This window comes from Homo sapiens, chromosome 12, assembly GCF_000001405.40.
Source record: "Homo sapiens chromosome 12, GRCh38.p14 Primary Assembly".
Classification (NCBI taxonomy): Eukaryota; Metazoa; Chordata; class Mammalia; order Primates; family Hominidae; genus Homo; species Homo sapiens.
Genome location: NC_000012.12, coordinates 35205445 through 35227673, shown reverse-complemented (window position 1 = coordinate 35227673; position 22229 = coordinate 35205445). Strand labels below are relative to the sequence as shown.

At 38.6% G+C, this 22229-nt stretch overlaps 1 annotated feature.

Moving 5' to 3' along the window:
* Nucleotides 1-22229: part of a centromere (Linear centromere model derived predominantly from reads generated in PMID: 17803354. This region does not represent an actual centromere sequence, as long-range ordering of repeats and unmapped WGS contigs is not provided by the model. For details of model production, see http://arxiv.org/abs/1307.0035.) that runs on past both edges of the window.

The following is a 22229-nucleotide window of genomic DNA, read 5'->3' as shown; positions in this document are numbered from 1 at the left end:
AGCTGAACACACATCAAAAAGAAGTTTCTGTGAATGATTCTGTCTAGATTTTATAAGAAGATGTTTCCTTTTCTACCGTAGGCCACAAAGCGCTTGAAATCTCCAGCTGCAAATTCCACAAAAAGGGTGTTTAACATCTGCTCTTCTAAAGGAAAGTTCAACTCTATGAGTTAAATAAACACAGCAGAAAGAAGTTACTGAGACTTCTCCTATCAAACATTATATGAAGAAATCCCGTTTCCAACGAAGGCCTCAAAGAGGTCCAAATATCTGCTTGCAGACTTTACAGACAGAGTTTTTCCAAACTGCTCCATCAAAAGAAAGGTTAAACTCCCTTGAGTTGAACACACACATCACAAAGTAGTTTCTGTGAATGATTCTGTCTAGTTTTTATACGAAGATGTTTCCTTTTCTACCTTTGGTCTCAATGCGATTGAAATCTCCACATGGAAACTCCACAAAAAGAGTGTTTCAAATCTGCTCTTTCTGAAGGAAGGTTCAACTCTGTGAGTTGAATACACACACCACAAATAAGTTACTGAGAATTCTTCTGTGTAACATTATATGAGGAAATCCCGTTTCCAACGAAGGCCTCAAAGAGGTCCAAATATCCACTTGCAGACTTTACAAAGACAGTGTCTCCAAACTCCGCCATCAAAAGAAAGGTTATACTCTGTGAATTGAACGCACACATCACAAAGTAGTTTCTGAGAATGATTCTGTCTAGTTTTTATACGAAGATATTTCCTTTTCTACATTTGGCCTGAAAGCGCTTGAAATCTCCACGTGCAAATATCACAAAAAGAGGGTTTCACATCTGCTCTGTCTAAAGGACAGTTCACCTCTGTGAGTTGAATAGAGGCAACACAAAGAACTTACTCAGTATTCTTCTTTCTAGCGTTCTATGCAGAAATCCCGTTTCCAACGAAGGCCTCAAAGAGGTCCAAATATCTGCTTGCAGACTTTACAGACAGAGTGTTTCCAAAGTACTCTATGAAAAGAAAGCTTAAACTCCTTGAGTTGAACGCACACATCACAAAGTAGTTTCTGAGAATGATTCTGTCTAGTTTTTATACGAAGATGTTTCCTTTTCTACATTTGGTCTCAAAGCGATTGAAATCTCCAACTGGAAACTGCACAAATAGGGTGTTTCAAATCTGCTCTGTCTAAAGGAAGGTTCAACTCTGTGAGTTGAATACACACACCACAAATAAGTTACTGAGAATTCTTCTGTCGAACATTACTTGAAGAAATCCCGTTTCCAACGAAGGCCTCAAAGAGGTCCAAATATCCACTTGCAGACATTACAAACAGAGTGTTTCCAAACTGCTCCATCAAAAGAAAGGTTAAACTCTGTGAGCTGAACACACACATCAAAAAGAAGTTTCTGTGAATGATTCTGTCTAGATTTTATAAGAAGATGTTTCCTTTTCTACCGTAGGCCTCAAAGCGCTTGAAATCTCCAGCTGCAAATTCCACAAAAAGGGTGTTTAACATCTGCTCTTCTAAAGGAAAGTTCAACTCTATGCGTTGAATACACACAGCACAAAGAAGTTACTGAGACTTCTCCTATCAAACATTATATGAAGAAATCCCGTTTCCAACGAAGGCCTCAAAGAGGTCCAAATATCTGCTTGCAGACTTTACAGACAGAGTGTTTCCAAACTGCTCCATCAAAAGAAAGGTTAAACTCCTTGAGTTGAACACACACATCACAAAGTAGTTTCTGTGAATGATTCTGTCTAGTTTTTATACGAAGATGTTTCCTTTTCTACCTTTGGTCTCAATGCGATTGAAATCTCCACATGGAAACTCCACAAAAAGAGTGTTTCAAATCTGCTCTTTCTGAAGGAAGGTTCAACTCTGTGAGTTGAATACACACACCACAAATAAGTTACTGAGAATTCTTCTGTGTAACATTATATGAGGAAATCCCGTTTCCAACGAAGGCCTCAAAGAGGTCCAAATATCCACTTGCAGACTTTACAAAGACAGTGTCTCCAAACTCCTCCATCAAAAGAAAGGTTATACTCTGTGAATTGAACGCACACATCACAAAGTAGTTTCTGAGAATGATTCTGTCTAGTTTTTATACGAAGATATTTCCTTTTCTACATTTGGCCTAAAAGCGCTTGAAATCTCCACCTGCAAATATCACAAAAAGAGGGTTTCACATCTGCTCTGTCTGAAGGACAGTTCACCTCTGTGAGTTGAATAGAGGCAACACAAAGAACTTACTCAGTATTCTTCTTTCTAGCGTTCTATGAAGAAATCCCGTTTCCAACGAAGGCCCCAAAGAGGTCCAAATATCTGCTTGCAGACTTTACAGACAGAGTGTTTCCAAACTACTCTATGAAAAGAAAGCTTAAACTCCTTGAGTTGAACGCACACATCACAAAGTAGTTTCTGAGAATGATTCTGTCTAGTTTTTATACGAAGATGTTTCCTTTTCAACATTTGGTCTCAAAGCGATTGAAATCTCCAACTGGAAACTGCACAAATAGGGTGTTTCAAATCTGCTCTGTCTAAAGGAAGGTTCAACTCTGTGAGTTGAATACACACACCACAAATAAGTTACTGAGAATTCTTCTGTCGAACATTACAGGAAGAAATCCCGTTTCCAACGAAGGCCTCAAAGAGGTCCAAATATCCACTTGCGGACATTACAAACAGTGTGTTTCCCAACTGCTCCATCAAAAGAAAGGTTAAACTCTGTGAGCTGAACACACACATCAAAAAGAAGTTTACTGTGAATGATTCTGTCTAGATTTTATAAGAAGATGTTTCCTTTTCTACCGTCGGCCTCAAAGCGCTTGAAATCTCCAGCTGCAAATTCCACAAAAAGGGTGTTTAACATCTGCTCTTCTGAAGGAAAGTTCAACTCTATGAGTTGAATACACACAGCACAAAGAAGTTACTGAGACTTCTCCTATCAAACATTATATGAAGAAATCCCGTTTCCAACGAAGGCCTCAAAGAGGTCCAAATATCTTCTTGCAGACTTTACAGACAGAGTTTTTCCAAACTGCTCCATCAAAAGAAAGGTTAAACTCCTTGAGTTGAACACACACATCACAAAGTAGTTTCTGTGAATGATTCTGTCTAGTTTTTATACGAAGATGTTTCCTTTTCTACCTTTGGTCTCAAAGCGATTGAAATCTCCACATGGAAACTCCACAAAAAGAGTGTTTCAAATCTGCTCTTTCTGAAGGAAGGTTCAACTCTGTGAGTTGAATACACACACCACAAATAAGTTACTGAGAATTCTTCTGTGTAACATTATATGAGGAAATCCCGTTTCCAACGAAGGCCTCAAAGAGGTCCAAATATCCACTTGCAGACTTTACAAAGACAGTGTCTCCAAACTCCTCCATCAAAAGAAAGGTTATACTCTGTGAATTGAACGCACACATCACAAAGTAGTTTCTGAGAATGATTCTGTCTAGTTTTTATACGAAGATATTTCCTTTTCTACATTTGGCCTAAAAGCGCTTGAAATCTCCACCTGCAAATATCACAAAAAGAGGGTTTCACATCTGCTCTGTCTAAAGGACAGTTCACCTCTGTGAGTTGAATAGAGGCAACACAAAGAACTTACTCAGTATTCTTCTTTCTAGCGTTCTATGAAGAAATCCGGTTTCCAACGAAGGCCCCAAAGAGGTCCAAATATCTGCTTGCACACTTTACAGACAGAGTGTTTCCAAACTACTCTATGAAAAGAAAGCTTAAACTCCTTGAGTTGAACGCACACATCACAAAGTAGTTTCTGAGAATGATTCTGTCTAGTTTTTATACGAAGATGTTTCCTTTTCTACATTTGGTCTCAAAGCGATTGAAATCTCCAACTGGAAACTGCACAAATAGGGTGTTTCAAACCTCCTCTGTCTAAAGGAAGGCTCAACTCTGTGAGTTGAATACACACACCACAAATAAGTTACTGAGAATTCTTCTGTCGAACATTACTTGAAGAAATCCCGTTTCCAACGAAGGCCTCAAAGAGGTCCAAATATCCACTTGCAGACATTACACACAGAGTGTTTCCAAACTGCTCCATCAAAAGAAAGGTTAAACTCTGTGAGCTGAACACACACATCGAAAAGAAGTTTCTGTGAATGATTCTGTCTAGATTTTATAAGAAGATGTTTCCTTTTCTACCGTAGGCCTCAAAGCGCTTGAAATCTCCAGCTGCAAATTCCACAAAAAGGGTGTTTAACATCTGCTCTTCTAAAGGAAAGTTCAACTCTATGAGTTGAATACACACAGCACAAAGAAGTTACTGAGACTTCTCCTATCAAACATTATATGAAGAAATCCCGTTTCCAACGAAGGCCTCAAAGAGGTCCAAATATCTGCTTGCAGACTTTACAGACAGAGTGTTTCCAAACTGCTCCATCAAAAGAAAGGTTAAACTCCTTGAGTTGAACACACACATCACAAAGTAGTTTCTGTGAATGATTCTGTCTAGTTTTTATACGAAGATGTTTCCTTTTCTACCTTTGGTCTCAAAGTGATTGAAATCTCCACATGGAAACTCCACAAAAAGAGTGTTTCAAATCTGCTCTTTCTGAAGGAAGGTTCAAATCTGTGAGTTGAATACACACACCACAAATAAGTTACTGAGAATTCTTCTGGGTAACATTATATGAGGAAATCCCGTTTCCAACGAAGGCCTCAAAGAGGTCCAAATATCCACTTGCAGACTTTACAAAGACAGTGTCTCCAAACTCCTCCATCAAAAGAAAGGTTATACTCTGTGAATTGAACGCACACATCACAAAGTAGTTTCTGAGAATGATTCTGTCTAGTTTTTATACGAAGATATTTCCTTTTCTACATTTGGCCTAAAAGTGCTTGAAATCTCCACCTGCAAATATCACAAAAAGAGGGTTTCACATCTGCTCTGTCTAAAGGACAGTTCACCTCTGTGAGTTGAATAGAGGCAACACAAAGAACTTACTCAGTATTCTTCTTTCTAGCGTTCTATGAAGAAATCCCGTTTCCAACGAAGGCCCCAAAGAGGTCCAAATATCTGCTTGCAGACTTTACAGACAGAGTGTTTCCAAACTACTCTATGAAAAGAAAGCTTAAACTCCTTGAGTTGAACGCACACATCACAAAGTAGTTTCTGAGAATGATTCTGTCTAGTTTTTATACGAAGATGTTTCCTTTTCTACATTTGGTCTCAAAGCGATTGAAATCTCCAACTGGAAACTGCACAAATAGGGTGTTTCAAATCTGCTCTGTCTAAAGGAAGGTTCAACTCTGTGAGTTGAATACACACACCACAAATAAGTTACTGAGAATTCTTCTGTCGAACATTACTTGAAGAAATCCCGTTTCCAACGAAGGCCTCAAAGAGGTCCAAATATCCACTTGCAGACATTACAAACAGAGTGTTTCCAACCTGCTCCTTCAAAAGAAAGGTTAAACTCTGTGAGCTGAACACACACATCAAAAAGAAGTTTCTGTGAATGATTCTGTCTAGATTTTATAAGAAGATGTTTCCTTTTCTACCGTAGGCCTCAAAGCGCTTGAAATCTCCAGCTGCAAATTCCACAAAAAGGGTGTTTAACATCTGCTCTTCTAAAGGAAAGTTCAACTCTATGAGTTGAATACACACAGCACAAAGAAGTTACTGAGACTTCTTCTGTCTAACATTATATGAAGAAATCCCGTTTCCAACGAAGGCCTCAAAGAGGTCCAAATATCTGCCTGCAGACTTTACAGACAGAGTGTTTCCAAACTGCTCCATCAAAAGAAAGGTTAACCTCCTTGAGTTGAACACACACATCACAAAGTAGTTTCTGTGAATGATTCTGTCTAGTTTTTATACGAAGATGTTTCCTTTTCTACCTTTGGTCTCAAAGCGATTGAAATCTCCACATGGAAACTCCACAAAAAGAGTGTTTCAAATCTGCTCTTTCTGAAGGAAGGTTCATCTCTGTGAGTTGAATACACACACCACAAATAAGTTACTGAGAATTCTTCTGTGTAACATTATATGAGGAAATCCCGTTTCCAACGAAGGCCTCAAAGAGGTCCAAATATCCACTTGCAGACTTTACAAAGACAGTGTCTCCAAACTCCTCCATCAAAAGAAAGGTTATACTCTGTGAATTGAACGCACACATCACAAAGTAGTTTCTGAGAATGATTCTGTCTAGTTTTTATACGAAGATATTTCCTTTTCTACATTTGGCCTAAAAGCGCTTGAAATCTCCACCTGCAAATATCACAAAAAGAGGGTTTCACATCTGCTCTGTCTAAAGGACAGTTCACCTCTGTGAGTTGAATAGAGGCAACACAAAGAACTTACTCAGTATTCTTCTTTCAAGCGTTCTATGAAGAAATCCCGTTTCCAACGAAGACCCCAATGAGGTCCAAATATCTGCTTGCAGACTTTACAGACAGAGTGTTTCCAAACTACTCTATGAAAAGAAAGCTTAAACTCCTTGTGTTGAACGCACACATCACAAAGTAGTTTCTGAGAATGATTCTGTCTAGTTTTTATACGAAGATGTTTCCTTTTCTACATTTGGTCTCAAAGCGATTGAAATCTCCAACTGGAAACTGCACAAATAGGGTGTTTCAAATCTGCTCTGTCTAAAGGAAGGTTCAACTCTGTGAGTTGAATACACACACCACAAATAAGTTACTGAGAATTCTTCTGTCGAACATTACAGGAAGAAATCCCGTTTCCAACGAAGGCCTCAAAGAGGTCCAAATATCCACTTGCAGACATTACAAACAGAGTGTTTCCAAACTGCTCCATCAAAAGAAAGGTTAAACTCTGTGAGCTGAACACACACATCAAAAAGAAGTTTCTGTGAATGATTCTGTCTAGATTTTATAAGATGTTTCCTTTTCTACCGTAGGCCTCAAAGCGCTTGAAATCTCCAGCTGCAAATTCCACAAAAAGGGTGTTTAACATCTGCTCTTCTAAAGGAAAGTTCAACTCTATGCGTTGAATACACACAGCACAAAGAAGTTACTGAGACTTCTCCTATCAAACATTATATGAAGAAATCCCGTTTCCAACGAAGGCCTCAAAGAGGTCCAAATATCTGCTTGCAGACTTTACAGACAGAGTGTTTCCAAACTGCTCCATCAAAAGAAAGGTTAAACTCCTTGAGTTGAACACACACATCACAAAGTAGTTTCTGTGAATGATTCTGTCTAGTTTTTATACGAAGATGTTTCCTTTTCTACCTTTGGTCTCAAAGCGATTGAAATCTCCACATGGAAACTCCACTAAAAGAGTGTTTCAAATCTGCTCTTTCTGAAGGAAGGTTCAACTCTGTGAGTTGAATACACACACCACAAATAAGTTACTGAGAATTCTTCTGTGTAACATTATATGAGGAAATCCCGTTTCCAACGAAGGCCTCAAAGAGGTCCAAATATCCACTTGCAGACTTTACAAAGACAGTGTCTCCAAACTCCTCCATCAAAAGAAAGGTTATACTCTGTGAATTGAACGCACACATCACAAAGTAGTTTCTGAGAATGATTCTGTCTAGTTTTTATACGAAGATATTTCCTTTTCTACATTTGGCCTAAAAGCGCTTGAAATCTCCACCTGCAAATATCACAAAAAGAGGGTTTCACATCTGCTCTGTCTAAAGGACAGTTCACCTCTGTGAGTTGAATAGAGGCAACACAAAGAACTTACTCAGTATTCTTGTTTCTAGCGTTCTATGAAGAAATCCCGTTTCCAACGAAGGCCCCAAAGAGGTCCAAATATCTGCTTGCAGACTTTACAGACAGAGTGTTTCCAAACTACTCTATGAAAAGAAAGCTTAAACTCCTTGAGTTGAACGCACACATCACAAAGTAGTTTCTGAGAATGATTCTGTCTAGTTTTTATACGAAGATGTTTCCTTTTCTACATTTGGTCTCAAAGCGATTGAAATCTCCAACTGGAAACTGCACAAATAGGGTGTTTCAAATCTGCTCTGTCTAAAGGAAGGTTCAACTCTGTGAGTTGAATACACACACCACAAATAAGTTACTGAGAATTCTTCTGTCGAACATTACTTGTAGAAATCCCGTTTCCAAAGAAGGCCTCAAAGAGGTCCAAATATCCACTTGCAGACATTACAAACAGTTTGTTTCCAAACTGCTCCATCAAAAGAAAGGTTAAACTCTGTGAGCTGAACACACACATCAAAAAGAAGTTTCTGTGAATGATTCTGTCTGGATTTTATAAGAAGATGTTTCCTTTTCTACCGTAGGCCTCAAAGCGCTTGAAATCTCCAGCTGCAAATTCCACAAAAAGGGTGTTTAACATCTGCTCTTCTAAAGGAAAGTTCAACTCTATGAGTTGAATACACACAGCACAAAGAAGTTACTGAGACTTCTTCCTATCAAACATTATATGAAGAAATCCCGTTTCCAACGAAGGCCTCAAAGAGGTCCAAATATCTGCTTGCAGACTTTACAGACAGAGTGTTTCCAAACTGCTCCATCAAAAGAAAGGTTAAACTCCTTGAGTTGAACACACACATCACAAAGTACTTTCTGTGAATGATTCTGTCTAGTTTTTATACGAAGATGTTTCCTTTTCTACCTTTGGTCTCAAAGCGATTGAAATCTCCACATGGAAACACCACAAAAAGAGTGTTTCAAATCTGCTCTTTCTGAAGGAAGGTTCAACTCTGTGAGTTGAATACACACACCACAAATAAGTTACTGAGAATTCTTCTGTGTAACATTATATGAGGAAATCCCATTTCCAACGAAGGCCTCAAAGAGGTCCCAATATCCACATGCAGACTTTACAAAGACAGTGTCTCCAAACTCCTCCATCAAAAGAAAGGTTATACTCTGTGAATTGAACGCACACATCACAAAGTAGTTTCTGAGAATGATTCTGTCTAGTTTTTATACGAAGATATTTCCTTTTCTACATTTGGCCTAAAAGCGCTTGAAATCTCCACCTGCAAATATCACAAAAAGAGGGTTTCACATCTGCTCTGTCTAAAGGACAGTTCAACTCTGTGAGTTGAATAGAGGCAACACAAAGAACTTACTCAGTATTCTTCTTTCTAGCGTTCTATGAAGAAATCCCGTTTCCAACGAAGACCCCAAAGAGGTCCAAATATCTGCTTGCAGACTTTACAGACAGAGTGTTTCCAAAGTACTCTATGAAAAGAAAGCTTAAACTCCTTGAGTTGAACGCACACATCACAAAGTAGTTTCTGAGAATGATTCTGTCTAGTTTTTATACGAAGATGTTTCCTTTTCTACATTTGGTCTCAAAGCGATTGAAATCTCCAACTGGAAACTGCACAAATAGGGTGTTTCAAATCTGCTCTGTCTAAAGGAAGGTTCAACTCTGTGAGTTGAATACACACATCACAAATAAGTTACTGAGAATTCTTCTGTCGAACATTACTTGAAGAAATCCCGTTTCCAACGAAGGCCTCAAAGAGGTCCAAATATCCACTTGCAGACATTACAAACAGAGTGTTTCCAAACTGCTCCATCAAAAGAAAGGTTAAACTCTGTGAGCTGAACACACACATCGAAAAGAAGTTTCTGTGAATGATTCTGTCTAGATTTTATAAGAAGATGTTTCCTTTTCTACCGTAGGCCTCAAAGCGCTTGAAATCTCCAGCTGCAAATTCCACAAAAAGGGTGTTTAACATCTGCTCTTCTAAAGGAAAGTTCAACTCTATGAGTTGAATACACACAGCACAAAGAAGTTACTGAGACTTCTCCTATCAAACATTATATGAAGAAATCCCGTTTCCAACGAAGGCCTCAAAGAGGTCCAAATATCTGCTTGCAAACTTTACAGACAGAGTTTTTCCAAACTGCTCCATCAAAAGAAAGGTTAAACTCCTTGAGTTGAACACACACATCACAAAGTAGTTTCTGTGAATGATTCTGTCTAGTTTTTATACGAAGATGTTTCCTTTTCTACCTTTGGTCTCAAAGCGATTGAAATCTCCACATGGAAACTCCACAAAAAGAGTGTTTCAAATCTGCTCTTTCTGAAGGAAGGTTCAACTCTGTGAGTTGAATAAACACACCACAAATAAGTTACTGAGAATTCTTCTGTGTAACATTATATGAGGAAATCCCGTTTCCAACGAAGGCCTCAAAGAGGTCCAAATATCCACTTGCAGACTTTACAAAGACAGTGTCTCCAAACTCCTCCATCAAAAGAAAAGTTATACTCTGTGAATTGAACGCACACATCACAAAGTAGTTTCTGAGAATGATTCTGACTAGTTTTTATATGAAGATATTTCCTTTTCTACAATTGGCCTGAAAGTGCTTGAAATCTCCACCTGCAAATATCACAAAAAGAGGGTTTCACATCTGCTCTGTCTAAAGGACAGTTCACCTCTGTGAGTTGAATAGAGGCAACACAAAGAACTTACTCAGTATTCTTCTTTCTAGCGTTATATGAAGAAATCCCGTTTCCAACGAAGGCCTCAAAGAGGTCCAAATATCTGCTTGCAGACTTTACACACAGAGTGTTTCCAAACTACTCTATGAAAAGAAAGCTTAAACTCCTTGAGTTGAACGCACACATCACAAAATAGTTTCTGAGAATGATTCTGTCTTGTTTTTATACGAAGATATTTCCGTTTCTACGATTGGCCTCAAAGCGATTGAAATCTCCAACTGGAAACTGCACAAATAGGGTGTTTCAAATCTGCTCTGTCTAAAGGAAGGTTCAACTCTGTGAGTTGAATACACACACCACAAATAAGTTACTGAGAATTCTTCTGTCGAACATTACATGAAGAATTCCCGTTTCCAACGAAGGCCTCAAAGAGGTCCAAATATCCACTTGCAGGCATTACAAACAGAGTGTTTCCAAACTGCTCCATCAAAAGAAAGGTTAAACTCTGTGAGCTGAACACACACATCAAAAAGAAGTTTCTGTGAATGATTCTGTCTAGATTTTATAAGAACATATTTCCTTTTCTACCGTAGGCCACAAAGCGCTTGAAATCTCCAGCTGCAAATTCCACAAAAAGGGTGTTTAACATCTGCTCTTCTAAAGGAAAGTTCAACTCTATGAGTTGAATACACACAGCACAAAGAAGTTACTGAGACTTCTCCTATCAAACATTATATGAAGAAATCCCGTTTCCAACGAAGGCCTCAAAGAGGTCCAAATATCCACTTGCAGACATTACAAACAGAGTGTTTCCAAACTGTTCCATCAAAAGAAAGATTAAACTCTGTGAGCTGAACACACACATGAAAAAGAAGTTTCTGTGAATGATTCTGTCTAGATTTTATACGAAGATGTTTCCTTTTCTACCTTTGGTCTCAATGCGATTGAAATCTCCACATGGAAACTCCACAAAAAGTGTGTTTGAAATCTGCTCTTTCTGAAGGAAGGTTCAACTCTGTGAGTTGAATACACACACCACAAATAAGTTACTGAGAATTCTTCTGTGTAACATTATATGAGGAAATCCCGTTTCCAACGAAGGCCTCAAAGAGGTCCAAATATCCACTTGCAGACTTTACAAAGACAGTGTCTCCAAACTCCTCCATCAAAAGAAAGGTTATACTCTGTGAATTGAACGCACACATCACAAAGTAGTTTCTGAGAATGATTCTGTCTAGTTTTTATACGAAGATATTTCCTTTTCTACATTTGGCCTAAAAGCGCTTGAAATCTCCACCTGCAAATATCACAAAAAGAGGGTTTCACATCTGCTCTGTCCAAAGGACAGTTCACCTCTGTGAGTTGAATAGAGGCAACACAAAGAACTTACTCAGTATTCTTCTTTCTAGCGTTCTATGAAGAAATCCCGTTTCCAACGAAGGCCCCAAAGAGGTCCAAATATCTGCTTGCAGACTTTACAGACAGAGTGTTTCCAAACTACTCTATGAAAAGAAAGCTTAAACTCCTTGAGTTGAACGCACACATCACAAAGTAGTTTCTGAGAATGATTCTGTCTAGTTTTTATACGAAGATGTTTCCTTTTCTACATTTGGTCTCAAAGCGATTGAAATCTCCAACTGGAAACTGCACAAATAGGGTGTTTCAAATCTGCTCTGTCTAAAGGAAGGTTCAACTCTGTGAGTTGAATACACACACCACAAATAAGTTACTGAGAATTCTTCTGTCGACCATTACTTGAAGAAATCCCGTTTCCAATGAAGGCCTCAAAAAGGTCCAAATATCCACTTGCAGACATTACAAACAGAGTGTTTCCAAACTGCTCCATCAAAAGAAAGGTTAAACTCTGTGAGCTGAACACACACATCAAAAAGAAGTTTGCTGTGAATGATTCTGTCTAGATTTTATAAGAAGATGTTTCCTGTTCTACCGTAGGCCTCAAAGCGCTTGAAATCTCCAGCTGCAAATTCCACAAAAAGGGTGTTTAACATCTGCTTTTCTAAAGGAAAGTTCAACTCAATGAGTTGAATACACACAGCAGAAAGAAGTTACTGAGACTTCTCCTATCAAACATTATATGAAGAAATCCCGTTTCCAACGAAGGCCTCAAAGAGGTCCAAATATCTGCTTGCAGACTTTACAGACAGAGTGTTTCCAAACTGCTCCATCAAAAGAAAGGTTAAACTCCTTGAGTTGAACACACACATCACAAAGTAGTTTCTGTGAATGATTCTGTCTAGTTGTTATACGAAGATGTTTCCTTTTCTACCTTTGGTCTCAAAGCGATTGAAATCTCCACATGGAAACTCCACAAAAAGAGTGTTTCAAATCTGCTCTTTCTGAAGGAAGGTTCATCTCTGTGAGTTGAATACACACACCACAAATAAGTTACTGAGAATTCTTCTGTGTAACATTATATGAGGAAATCCCGTTTCCAACGAAGGCCTCAAAGAGGTCCAAATATCCACTTGCAGTCTTTACAAAGACAGTGTCTCCAAACTCCTCCATCAAAAGAAAGGTTCTACTCTGTGAATTGAACGCACACATCACAAAGTAGTTTCTGAGAATGATTCTGTCTAGTTTTTATACGAAGATATTTCCTTTTCTACATTTGGCCTAAAAGCGCTTGAAATCTCCACCTGCAAATATCACAAAAAGAGGGTTTCACATCTGCTCTGTCTAAAGGACAGTTCACCTCTGTGAGTTGAATAGAGGCAACACAAAGAACTTACTCAGTATTCTTCTTTCTAGCGTTCTATGAAGAAATCCCGTTTCCAACGAAGGCCCCAAAGAGGTCCAAATATCTGCTTGCAGACTTTACAGACAGAGTGTTTCCAAACTACTCTATGAAAAGAAAGCTTAAACTCCTTGAGTTGAACGCACACATCACAAAGTAGTTTCTGAGAATGATTCTGTCTAGTTTTTATACGAAGATGTTTCCTTTTCTACATTTGGTCTCAAAGCGATTGAAATCTCCAACTGGAAACTGCACAAATAGGGTGTTTCAAATCTGCTCTGTCTAAAGGAAGGTTCAACTCTGTGAGTTGAATACACACACCACAAATAAGTTACTGAGAATTCTTCTGTCGAACATTACTTGAAGAAATCCCGTTTCCAACGAAGGCCTCAAAGAGGTCCAATTATCCACTTGCAGACATTACAAACAGAGTGTTTCCAAACTGCTCCATCAAAAGAAAGGTTAAACTCTGTGAGCTGAACACACACATCGAAAAGAAGTTTCTGTGAATGATTCTGTCTAGATTTTATAAGAAGATGTTTCCTTTTCTACAGTAGGCCTCAAAGCGCTTGAAATCTCCAGCTGCAAATTCCACAAAAAGGGTGTTTAACATCTGCTCTTCTAAAGGAAATTACAACTCTATGAGTTGAATGCACACAGCACAAAGAAGTTACTGAGACTTCTCCTATCAAACATTATATGAAGAAATCCCGTTTCCAACGAAGGCCTCAAAGAGGTCCAAATATCTGCTTGCAGACTTTACAGACAGAGTGTTTCCAAACTGCTCCATCAAAAGAAAGGTTAAACTCCTTGAGTTGAACACACACATCACAAAGTAGTTTCTGTGAATGATTCTGTCTAGTTGTTATACGAAGATGTTTCCTTTTCTACCTTTGGTCTCAAAGCGATTGAAATCTCCACATGGAAACTCCACAAAAAGAGTTTTTCAAATCTGCTCTTTCTGAAGGAAGGTTCATCTCTGTGAGTTGAATACACACACCACAAATAAGTTACTGAGAATTCTTCTGTGTAACATTATATGAGGAAATCCCGTTTCCAACGAAGGCCTCAAAGAGGTCCAAATATCCACTTGCAGACTTTACAAAGACAGTGTCTCCAAACTCCTCCATCAAAAGAAAGGTTATACTCTGTGAATTGAACGCACACATCACAAAGTAGTTTCTGAGAATGATTCTGTCTAGTTTTTATACGAAGATATTTCCTTTTCTACATTTGGCCTAAAAGCGCTTGAAATCTCCACCTGCAAATATCACAAAAAGAGGGTTTCACATCTGCTCTGTCTAAAGGACAGTTCACCTCTGTGAGTTGAATAGAGGCAACACAAAGAACTTACTCAGTATTCTTCTTTCTAGCGTTATATGAAGAAATCCCGTTTCCAACGAAGGCCTCAAAGAGGTCCAAATATCTGCTTGCAGACTTTACAGACAGAGTGTTTCCAAACTACTCTATGAAAAGAAAGCTTAAACTCCTTGAGTTGAACGCACACATCACAAAGTAGTTTCTGAGAATGATTCTGTCTAGTTTTTATACGAAGATGTTTCCTTTTCTACATTTGGTCTCAAAGCGATTGAAATCTCCAACTGGAAACTGCACAAATAGGGTGTTTCAAATCTGCTCTGTCTAAAGGAAGGTTCAACTCTGTGAGTTGAATACACACACCACAAATAAGTTACTGAGAATTCTTCTGTCGAACATTACATGAAGAAATCCCGTTTCCAACGAAGGCCTCAAAGAGGTCCAAATATCCACTTGCAGACATTACAGAGTGTTTCCAAACTGCTCCATCAAAAGAAAGGTTAAACTCTGTGAGCTGAACACACACATCAAAAAGAAGTTTCTGTGAATGATTCTGTCTAGATTTTATAAGAAGATGTTTCCTTTTCTACCGTAGGCCTCAAAGCGCTTGAAATCTCCAGCTGCAAATTCCACAAAAAGGGTGTTTAACATCTGCTCTTCTAAAGCAAAGTTCAACTCTATGAGTTGAATACACACAGCACAAAGAAGTTACTGAGACTTCTCCTATCAAACATCACATGAAGAAATCCCGTTTCCAACGAAGGCCTCAAAGAGGTCCAAATATCTGCTTGCAGACTTTACAGACAGAGTGTTTCCAAACTGCTCCATCAAAAGAAAGGTTAAACTCCTTGAGTTGAACACACACATCACAAAGTAGTTTCTGTGAATGATTCTGTCTAGTTTTTATACGAAGATGTTTCCTTTTCTACCTTTGTTCTCAAAGCGATTGAAATCTCCACATGGAAACTCCACAAAAAGTGTGTTTCAAATCTGCTCTCTCTGAAGGAAGGTTCAACTCTGTGAGTTGAATACACACACCACTAATAAGTTACTGAGAATTCTTCTGTGTAACATTATATGAGGAAATCCCGTTTCCAACGAAGGCCTCAAAGAGGTCCAAATATCCACTTGCAGACTTTACAAAGACAGTGTCTCCAAACTCCTCCATCAAAAGAAAGGTTATACTCTGTGAATTGAACGCACACATCACAAAGTAGTTTCTGAGAATGATTCTGTCTAGTTTTTATACGAAGATATTTCCTTTTCTACATTTGGCCTAAAAGCACTTGAAATCTCCACCTGCAAATATCCCAAAAAGAGGGTTTCACATCTGCTCTGTCTAAAGGACAGTTCTCCTCTGTGAGTAGAATAGAGGCAACACAAAGAACTTAGTATTCTTCTTTCTAGCGTTCTATGAAGAAATCCCGTTTCCAACGAAGGCCTCAAAGAGGTCCAAATATCTGCTTGCAGACTTTACAGACAAAGTGTTTCCAAACTACTCTATGAAAAGAAAGCTTAAACTCCTTGAGTTGAACGCACACATCACAAAGCAGTTTCTGAGAATGATTCTGTCTAGTTTTTATACGAAGATGTTTCCTTTTCTACATTTGGTCTCAAAGCGATTGAAATCTCCAACTGGAAACTGCACAAATAGGGTGTTTCAAATCTGCTCTGTCTAAAGGAAGGTTCAACTCTGTGAGTTGAATACACACACCACAAATAAGTTACTGAGAATTCTTCTGTCGAACATTACATGAAGAAATCCCGTTTCCAACGAAGACCTCAAAGAGGTCCAAATATCCACTTGCAGACATTACAAACAGTGTGTTTCCAAACTGCTCCAACAAAAGAAAGGTTAAACACTGTGAGCTGAACACACACATCAAAAAGAAGTTTCTGTGAATGATTCTGTCTAGATTTTATAAGAAGATGTTTCCTTTTCTACTGTAGGCCTCAAAGCGCTTGAAATCTCCAGCTGCAAATTCCACAAAAAGGGTGTTTAACATCTGCTCTTCTAAAGGAAAGTTCAACTCTATGAGTTGAATACACACAGCACAAAGAAGTTACTGAGACTTCTCCTATCAAACATTATATGAAGAAATCCCGTTTCCAACGAAGGCCTCAAAGAGGTCCAAATATCTGCTTGCAGACTTTACAGACAGAGTGTTTCCAAACTGCTCCATCAAAAGAAAGGTTAAACTCCTTGAGTTGAACACACACATCACAAAGTAGTTTCTGTGAATGATTCTGTCTAGTTTTTATACGAAGATGTTTCCTTTTCTACCTTTGGTCTCAAAGCGATTGAAATCTCCACATGGAAACTCCACAAAAAGAGTGTTTCAAATCTGCTCTTTCTGAAGGAAGGTTCAACTCTGTGAGTTGAATACACACACCACAAATAAGTTACTGAGAATTCTTCTGTGTAACATTATATGAGGAAATCCCGTTTCCAACGAAGGCCTCAAAGAGGTCCAAATATCCACTTGCAGACTTTACAAAGACAGTGTCTCCAAACTCCTCCATCAAAGGAAAGGTTATCCTCTGTGAATTGAACGCACACATCACAAAGTAGTTTCTGAGAATGATTTCTGTGTAGTTTTTATACGAAGATATTTCCTTTTCTACATTTGGCCTAAAAGCGCTTGAAATCTCCACCTGCAAATATCACAAAAAGAGGGTTTCACATCTGCTCTGTCTAAAGGGCAGTTCACCTCTGTGAGTTGAATAGAGGCAGCACAAAGAAGTTACTGAGTATTTTTTTTTCTAGCGTTACATGAAGAAATCCCGTTTCCAACGAAGGCCTCAAAGAGGTCCAAATATCTGCTTGCAGACTTTACAGACAGAGTGTTTCCAAACTACTCTATGAAAAGAAAGCTTAAACTCCTTGAGTTGAACGCACACATCACAAAGTAGTTTCTGAGAATGATTCTGTCTTGTTTTTATACGAAGATATTTCCGTTTCTATGATTGGCCTCCAAGCGATTGAAATCTCCAACTGGAAACTGCACAAATAGGGTGTTTCAAATCTGCTCTGTCTAAAGGAAGGTTCAACTCTGTGAGTTGAATACACACACCACAAATAAGTTACTGAGAATTCTTCTGTCGAACATTACATGAAGAAATCCCGTTTCCAACGAAGGCCTCAAAGAGGTCCAAATATCCACTTGCAGACATTACAAACAGAGTGTTTCCAAACTGCTCCATCAAAAGAAAGTTTAAACCCTGTGAGCTGAACAAACACATCAAAAAGAAGTTTCTGTGAATGATTCTGTCTAGACTTTAGAAGAAGATGTTTCCTTTTCTACTGTAGGCCTCAAAGCGCTTGAAATCTCCAGCTGCAAATTCCACAAAAAGGGAGTTTAACATCTGCTCTTCTAAAGGAAAGTTCAACTCCATGAGTTGAATACACACAGCACAAAGAAGTTACTGAGACTTCTCCTATCAAACATTATATGAAGAAATCCCGTTTCCAACGAAGGCCTCAAAGAGGTCCAAATATCCACTTGCAGACGTGACAAACAGAGTGTTTCCAAACTGCTCCATCAAAAGAAAGGTTAAACTCTGTGAGTTGAACACACACATCACAAAGTAGTTTCTGTGAATGATTCTGTCTAGTTTTCATACGAAGATGTTTCCTTTTCTACGTCTTGTCTCAAAGCCATTGAAATCTCCACATGGAAACTCCACAAAAAGAGGGTTTCAAATCTGTTCTTTCTGAAGGAAGGTTCAACTCTGTGAGTTGAATACACACACCACAAATAAGTTACTGAGAATTCTTCTGTGTAACATTATAGGAGGAAATCCCGTTTCCAACGAAGGCCTCAAAGAGGTCCAAATATCCACTTGCAGTCTTTACAAAGACAGTGTCTCCAAACTCCTCCATCAAAAGAAAGCTTATCCTCTGTGAATTGAACGCACACATCACAAAGTAGTTTCTGAGAATGATTCTGTCTAGTTTTTATACGAAGATATTTCCTTTTCTACATTTGGCCTAAAAGCGCTTGAAATCTCCACCTGCAAATATCACAAAAACAGGATTTCACATCTGCTCTGTCGAAAGGACAGTTCACCTCTGTGAGTTGAATAGAGGCAGCACAAAGAAGTTACTGAGTATTCTTCTTTCTAGCGTTACATGAAGAAATCCCGTTTCCAACGAAGGCCTCAAAGAGGTCCAAATATCTGCTTGCAGACTTTACAGACAGAGTGTTTCCAAACTACTCTATGAAAAGAAAGCTTAAACTCTTTGAGTTGAACGCACACATCACAAAGTAGTTTCTGAGAATGATTCTGTCTTGTTTTTATACGAAGATATTTCCGTTTCTATGATTGGCCTCCAAGCGATTGAAATCTCCAACTGGAAACTGCACAAATAGGGTGTTTCAAATCTGCTCTGTCTAAAGGAAGGTTCAACTCTGTGAGTTGAATACACACACCAAAAATAAGTTACTGAGAATTCTTCTGTCGAACATTACATGAAGAAATCCCGTTTCCAACGAAGGCCTCAAAGAAGTCCAAATATCCACTTGCAGACATTACAAACAGAGTGTTTCCAAACTGCTCCATCAAAAGAAAGGTTAAACTCTGTGAGCTGAACACACACATCAAAAAGAAGTTTCTGTGAATGATTCTGTCTAGACTTTAGAAGAAGATGTTTCCTTTTCTACCGTAGGCCTCAAAGCGCTTGAAATCTCCAGCTGCAAATTCCACAAAAAGGGTGTTTAACATCTGCTCTTCTAAAGGAAAGTTCAACTCCATGAGTTGAATACACACAGCACAAAGAAGTTACTGAGACTTCTCCTATCAAACATTATATGAAGAAATCCCGTTTCCAACGAAGGCCTCAAAGAGGTCCAAATATCCACTTGCAGACGTGACAAACAGAGTGTTTCCAAACTGCTCCATCAAAAGAAAGGTTAAACTCTGTGAGTTGAACACACACATCACAAAGTAGTTTCTGTGAATGATTCTGTCTAGTTTTTATACGAAGATGTTTCCTTTTCTACCTTTGGTCTCAAAGCGATTGAAATCTCCACATGGAAACTCCACAAAAAGTGTGTTTCAAATCTGCTCTTTCTGAAGGAAGGTTCAACTCTGTGAGTTGAATACACACACCACAAATAAGTTACTGAGAATTCTTCTGTGTAAAATTATATGAGGAAATCCCGTTTCCAACGAAGGCCTCAAAGAGGTCCAAATATCCACTTGCAGACTTTACAAAGACAGTGTCTCCAAACACCTCCATCAAAAGAAAGGTTATACTCTGTGAATTGAACGCACACATCACAAAGTAGTTTCTGAGAATGATTCTGTCTAGTTTTTATACGAAGATATTTCCTTTTCTACATTTGGCCTAAAAGCGCTTGAAATCTCCACCTGCAAATATCACAAAAAGAGGGTTTCACATCTGCTCTGTCTAAAGGACAGTTCACCTCTGTGAGTTGAATAGAGGCAACACTAAGAACTTACTCAGTATTCTTCTTTCTAGCGTTCTATGAAGAAATCCCGTTTCCAACGAAGGCCTCAAGGAGGTCCAAATATCTGCTTGCAGACTTTACAGACAGGGTGTTTCCAAACTACTCTATGAAAAGAAAGCTTAAACTCCTTGAGTTGAACGCACACGTCACAAAGTAGTTTATGAGAATGATTCTGTCTAGTTTTTATACGAAGATGTTTCCTTTTCTACATTTGGTCTCAAAGCGATTGAAATCTCCCACTGGAAACTGCACAAATAGGGTGTTTCAAATCTGCTCTGTCTAAAGGAAGGTTCTACTCTGTGAGATGAATACACACACCACAAATAAGTTACTGAGAATTCTCCCTATCAAACATTATATGAAGAAATCCCGTTTCCAACGAAGGCCTCAAAGAGGTCCAAATATCTGCTTGCAGACTTTACAGACAGAGTGTTTCCAAACTGCTCCATCAAAAGAAAGGTTAAACTCCTTGAGTTGAACACACACATCACAAAGTAGTTTCTGTGAATGATACTGTCTAGTTTTTATACGAAGATGTTTCCTTTTCTACCTTTGGTCTCAAAGCGATTGAAATCTCCACATGGAAACTCCACAAAAAGAGTGTTTCAAATCTGCTCTTTCTGAAGGAAGGTTCAACTCTGTGAGTTGAATACACACACCACAAATAAGTTACTGAGAATTCTTCTGTGTAACATTATATGAGGAAATCCCGTTTCCAACGAAGGCCTCAAAGAGGTCCAAATGTCCACTTGCGGACTTTACAAAGACAGTGTCTCCAAACTCCTCCATCAAAAGAAAGGTTATACTCTGTGAATTGAACGCACACATCACAAAGTAGTTTCTGAGAATGATTCTGTCTAGTTTTTATACGAAGATATTTCCTTTTCTACATTTGGCCTAAAAGCGCTTGAAATCTCCACCTGCAAATATCACAAAAAGAGGGTTTCACATCTGCTCTGTCTAAAGGACAGTTCACCTCTGTGATTTGAATGGAGGCAACACAAAGAACTTACTCAGTATTCTTCTTTCTAGCGTTCTATGAAGAAATCCCGTTTCCAACGAAGGCCTCAAAGAGGTCCAAATATCTGCTTGCAGACTTTACAAAGACAGTGTCTCCAAACTCCTCCGTCAAAAGAAAGGTTATACTCTGTGAATTGAACGCACACATCACAAAGTAGTTTCTGAGAATGATTGTGTCTAGTTTTTATACGAAGATATTTCCTTTTCTACATTTGGCCTCAAAGCGCTTGAAATCTCCACCTGCAAATATCACAAAAAGAGGGTTTCACATCTGCTCTGTCTAAAGGACAGTTCACCTCTGTGAGTTGAATAGAGGCAACACAAAGAACTTACTCAGTATTCTTCTTTCTAGCGTTCTATGAAGAAATCCCGTTTCCAACGAAGGCCCCAAAGAGGTCCAAATATCTGCTTGCAGACTTTACAGACAGAGTGTTTCCAAACTACTCTATGAAAAGAAAGCTTAAACTCCTTGAGTTGAACGCACACATCACAAAGTAGTTTCTGAGAATGATTCTGTCTAGTTTTTATACGAAGATGTTTCCTTTTCTACATTTGGTCTCAAAGCGATTGAAATCTCCAACTGGAAACTGCACAAATAGGGTGTTTCAAATCTGCTCTGTCTAAAGGAAGGTTCAACTCTGTGAGTTGAATACACACACCACACATAAGTTACTGAGAATTCTTCTGTCGAACATTACAGGAAGAAATCCCGTTACCAACGAAGGCCTCAAAGAGGTCCAAATATCCACTTGCAGACATTACAAACAGTGTGTTTGCAAACTGCTCCATCAAAAGAAAGGTTAAACTCTGTGAGCTGAACACACACATCAAAAAGAAGTTTCTGTGAATGATTCTGTCTAGATTTTATAAGAAGATGTTTCCTTTTCTACCGTAGGCCTCAAAGCGCTTGAAATCTCCAGCTGCAAATTCCACAAAAAGGGTGTTTAACATCTGGTCTTCTAAAGGAAAGTTCAACTCTATGAGTTGAATACACACAGCACAAAGAAGTTACTGAGACTTCTCCTATCAAACATTATATGAAGAAATCCCGTTTCCAACGAAGGCCTCAAAGAGGTCCAAATATCTGCTTGCAGACTTTACAGACAGAGTGTTTCCAAACTGCTCCATCAAAAGAAAGGTTAAACTCCTTGAGTTGAACACACACATCACAAAGTAGTTTCTGTGAATGATTCTGTCTAGTTTTTATACGAAGATGTTTCCTTTTCTACCTTTGGTCTCAAAGCGATTGAAATCTCCACATGGAAACTCCACAAAAAGAGTGTTTCAAATCTGCTCTTTCTGA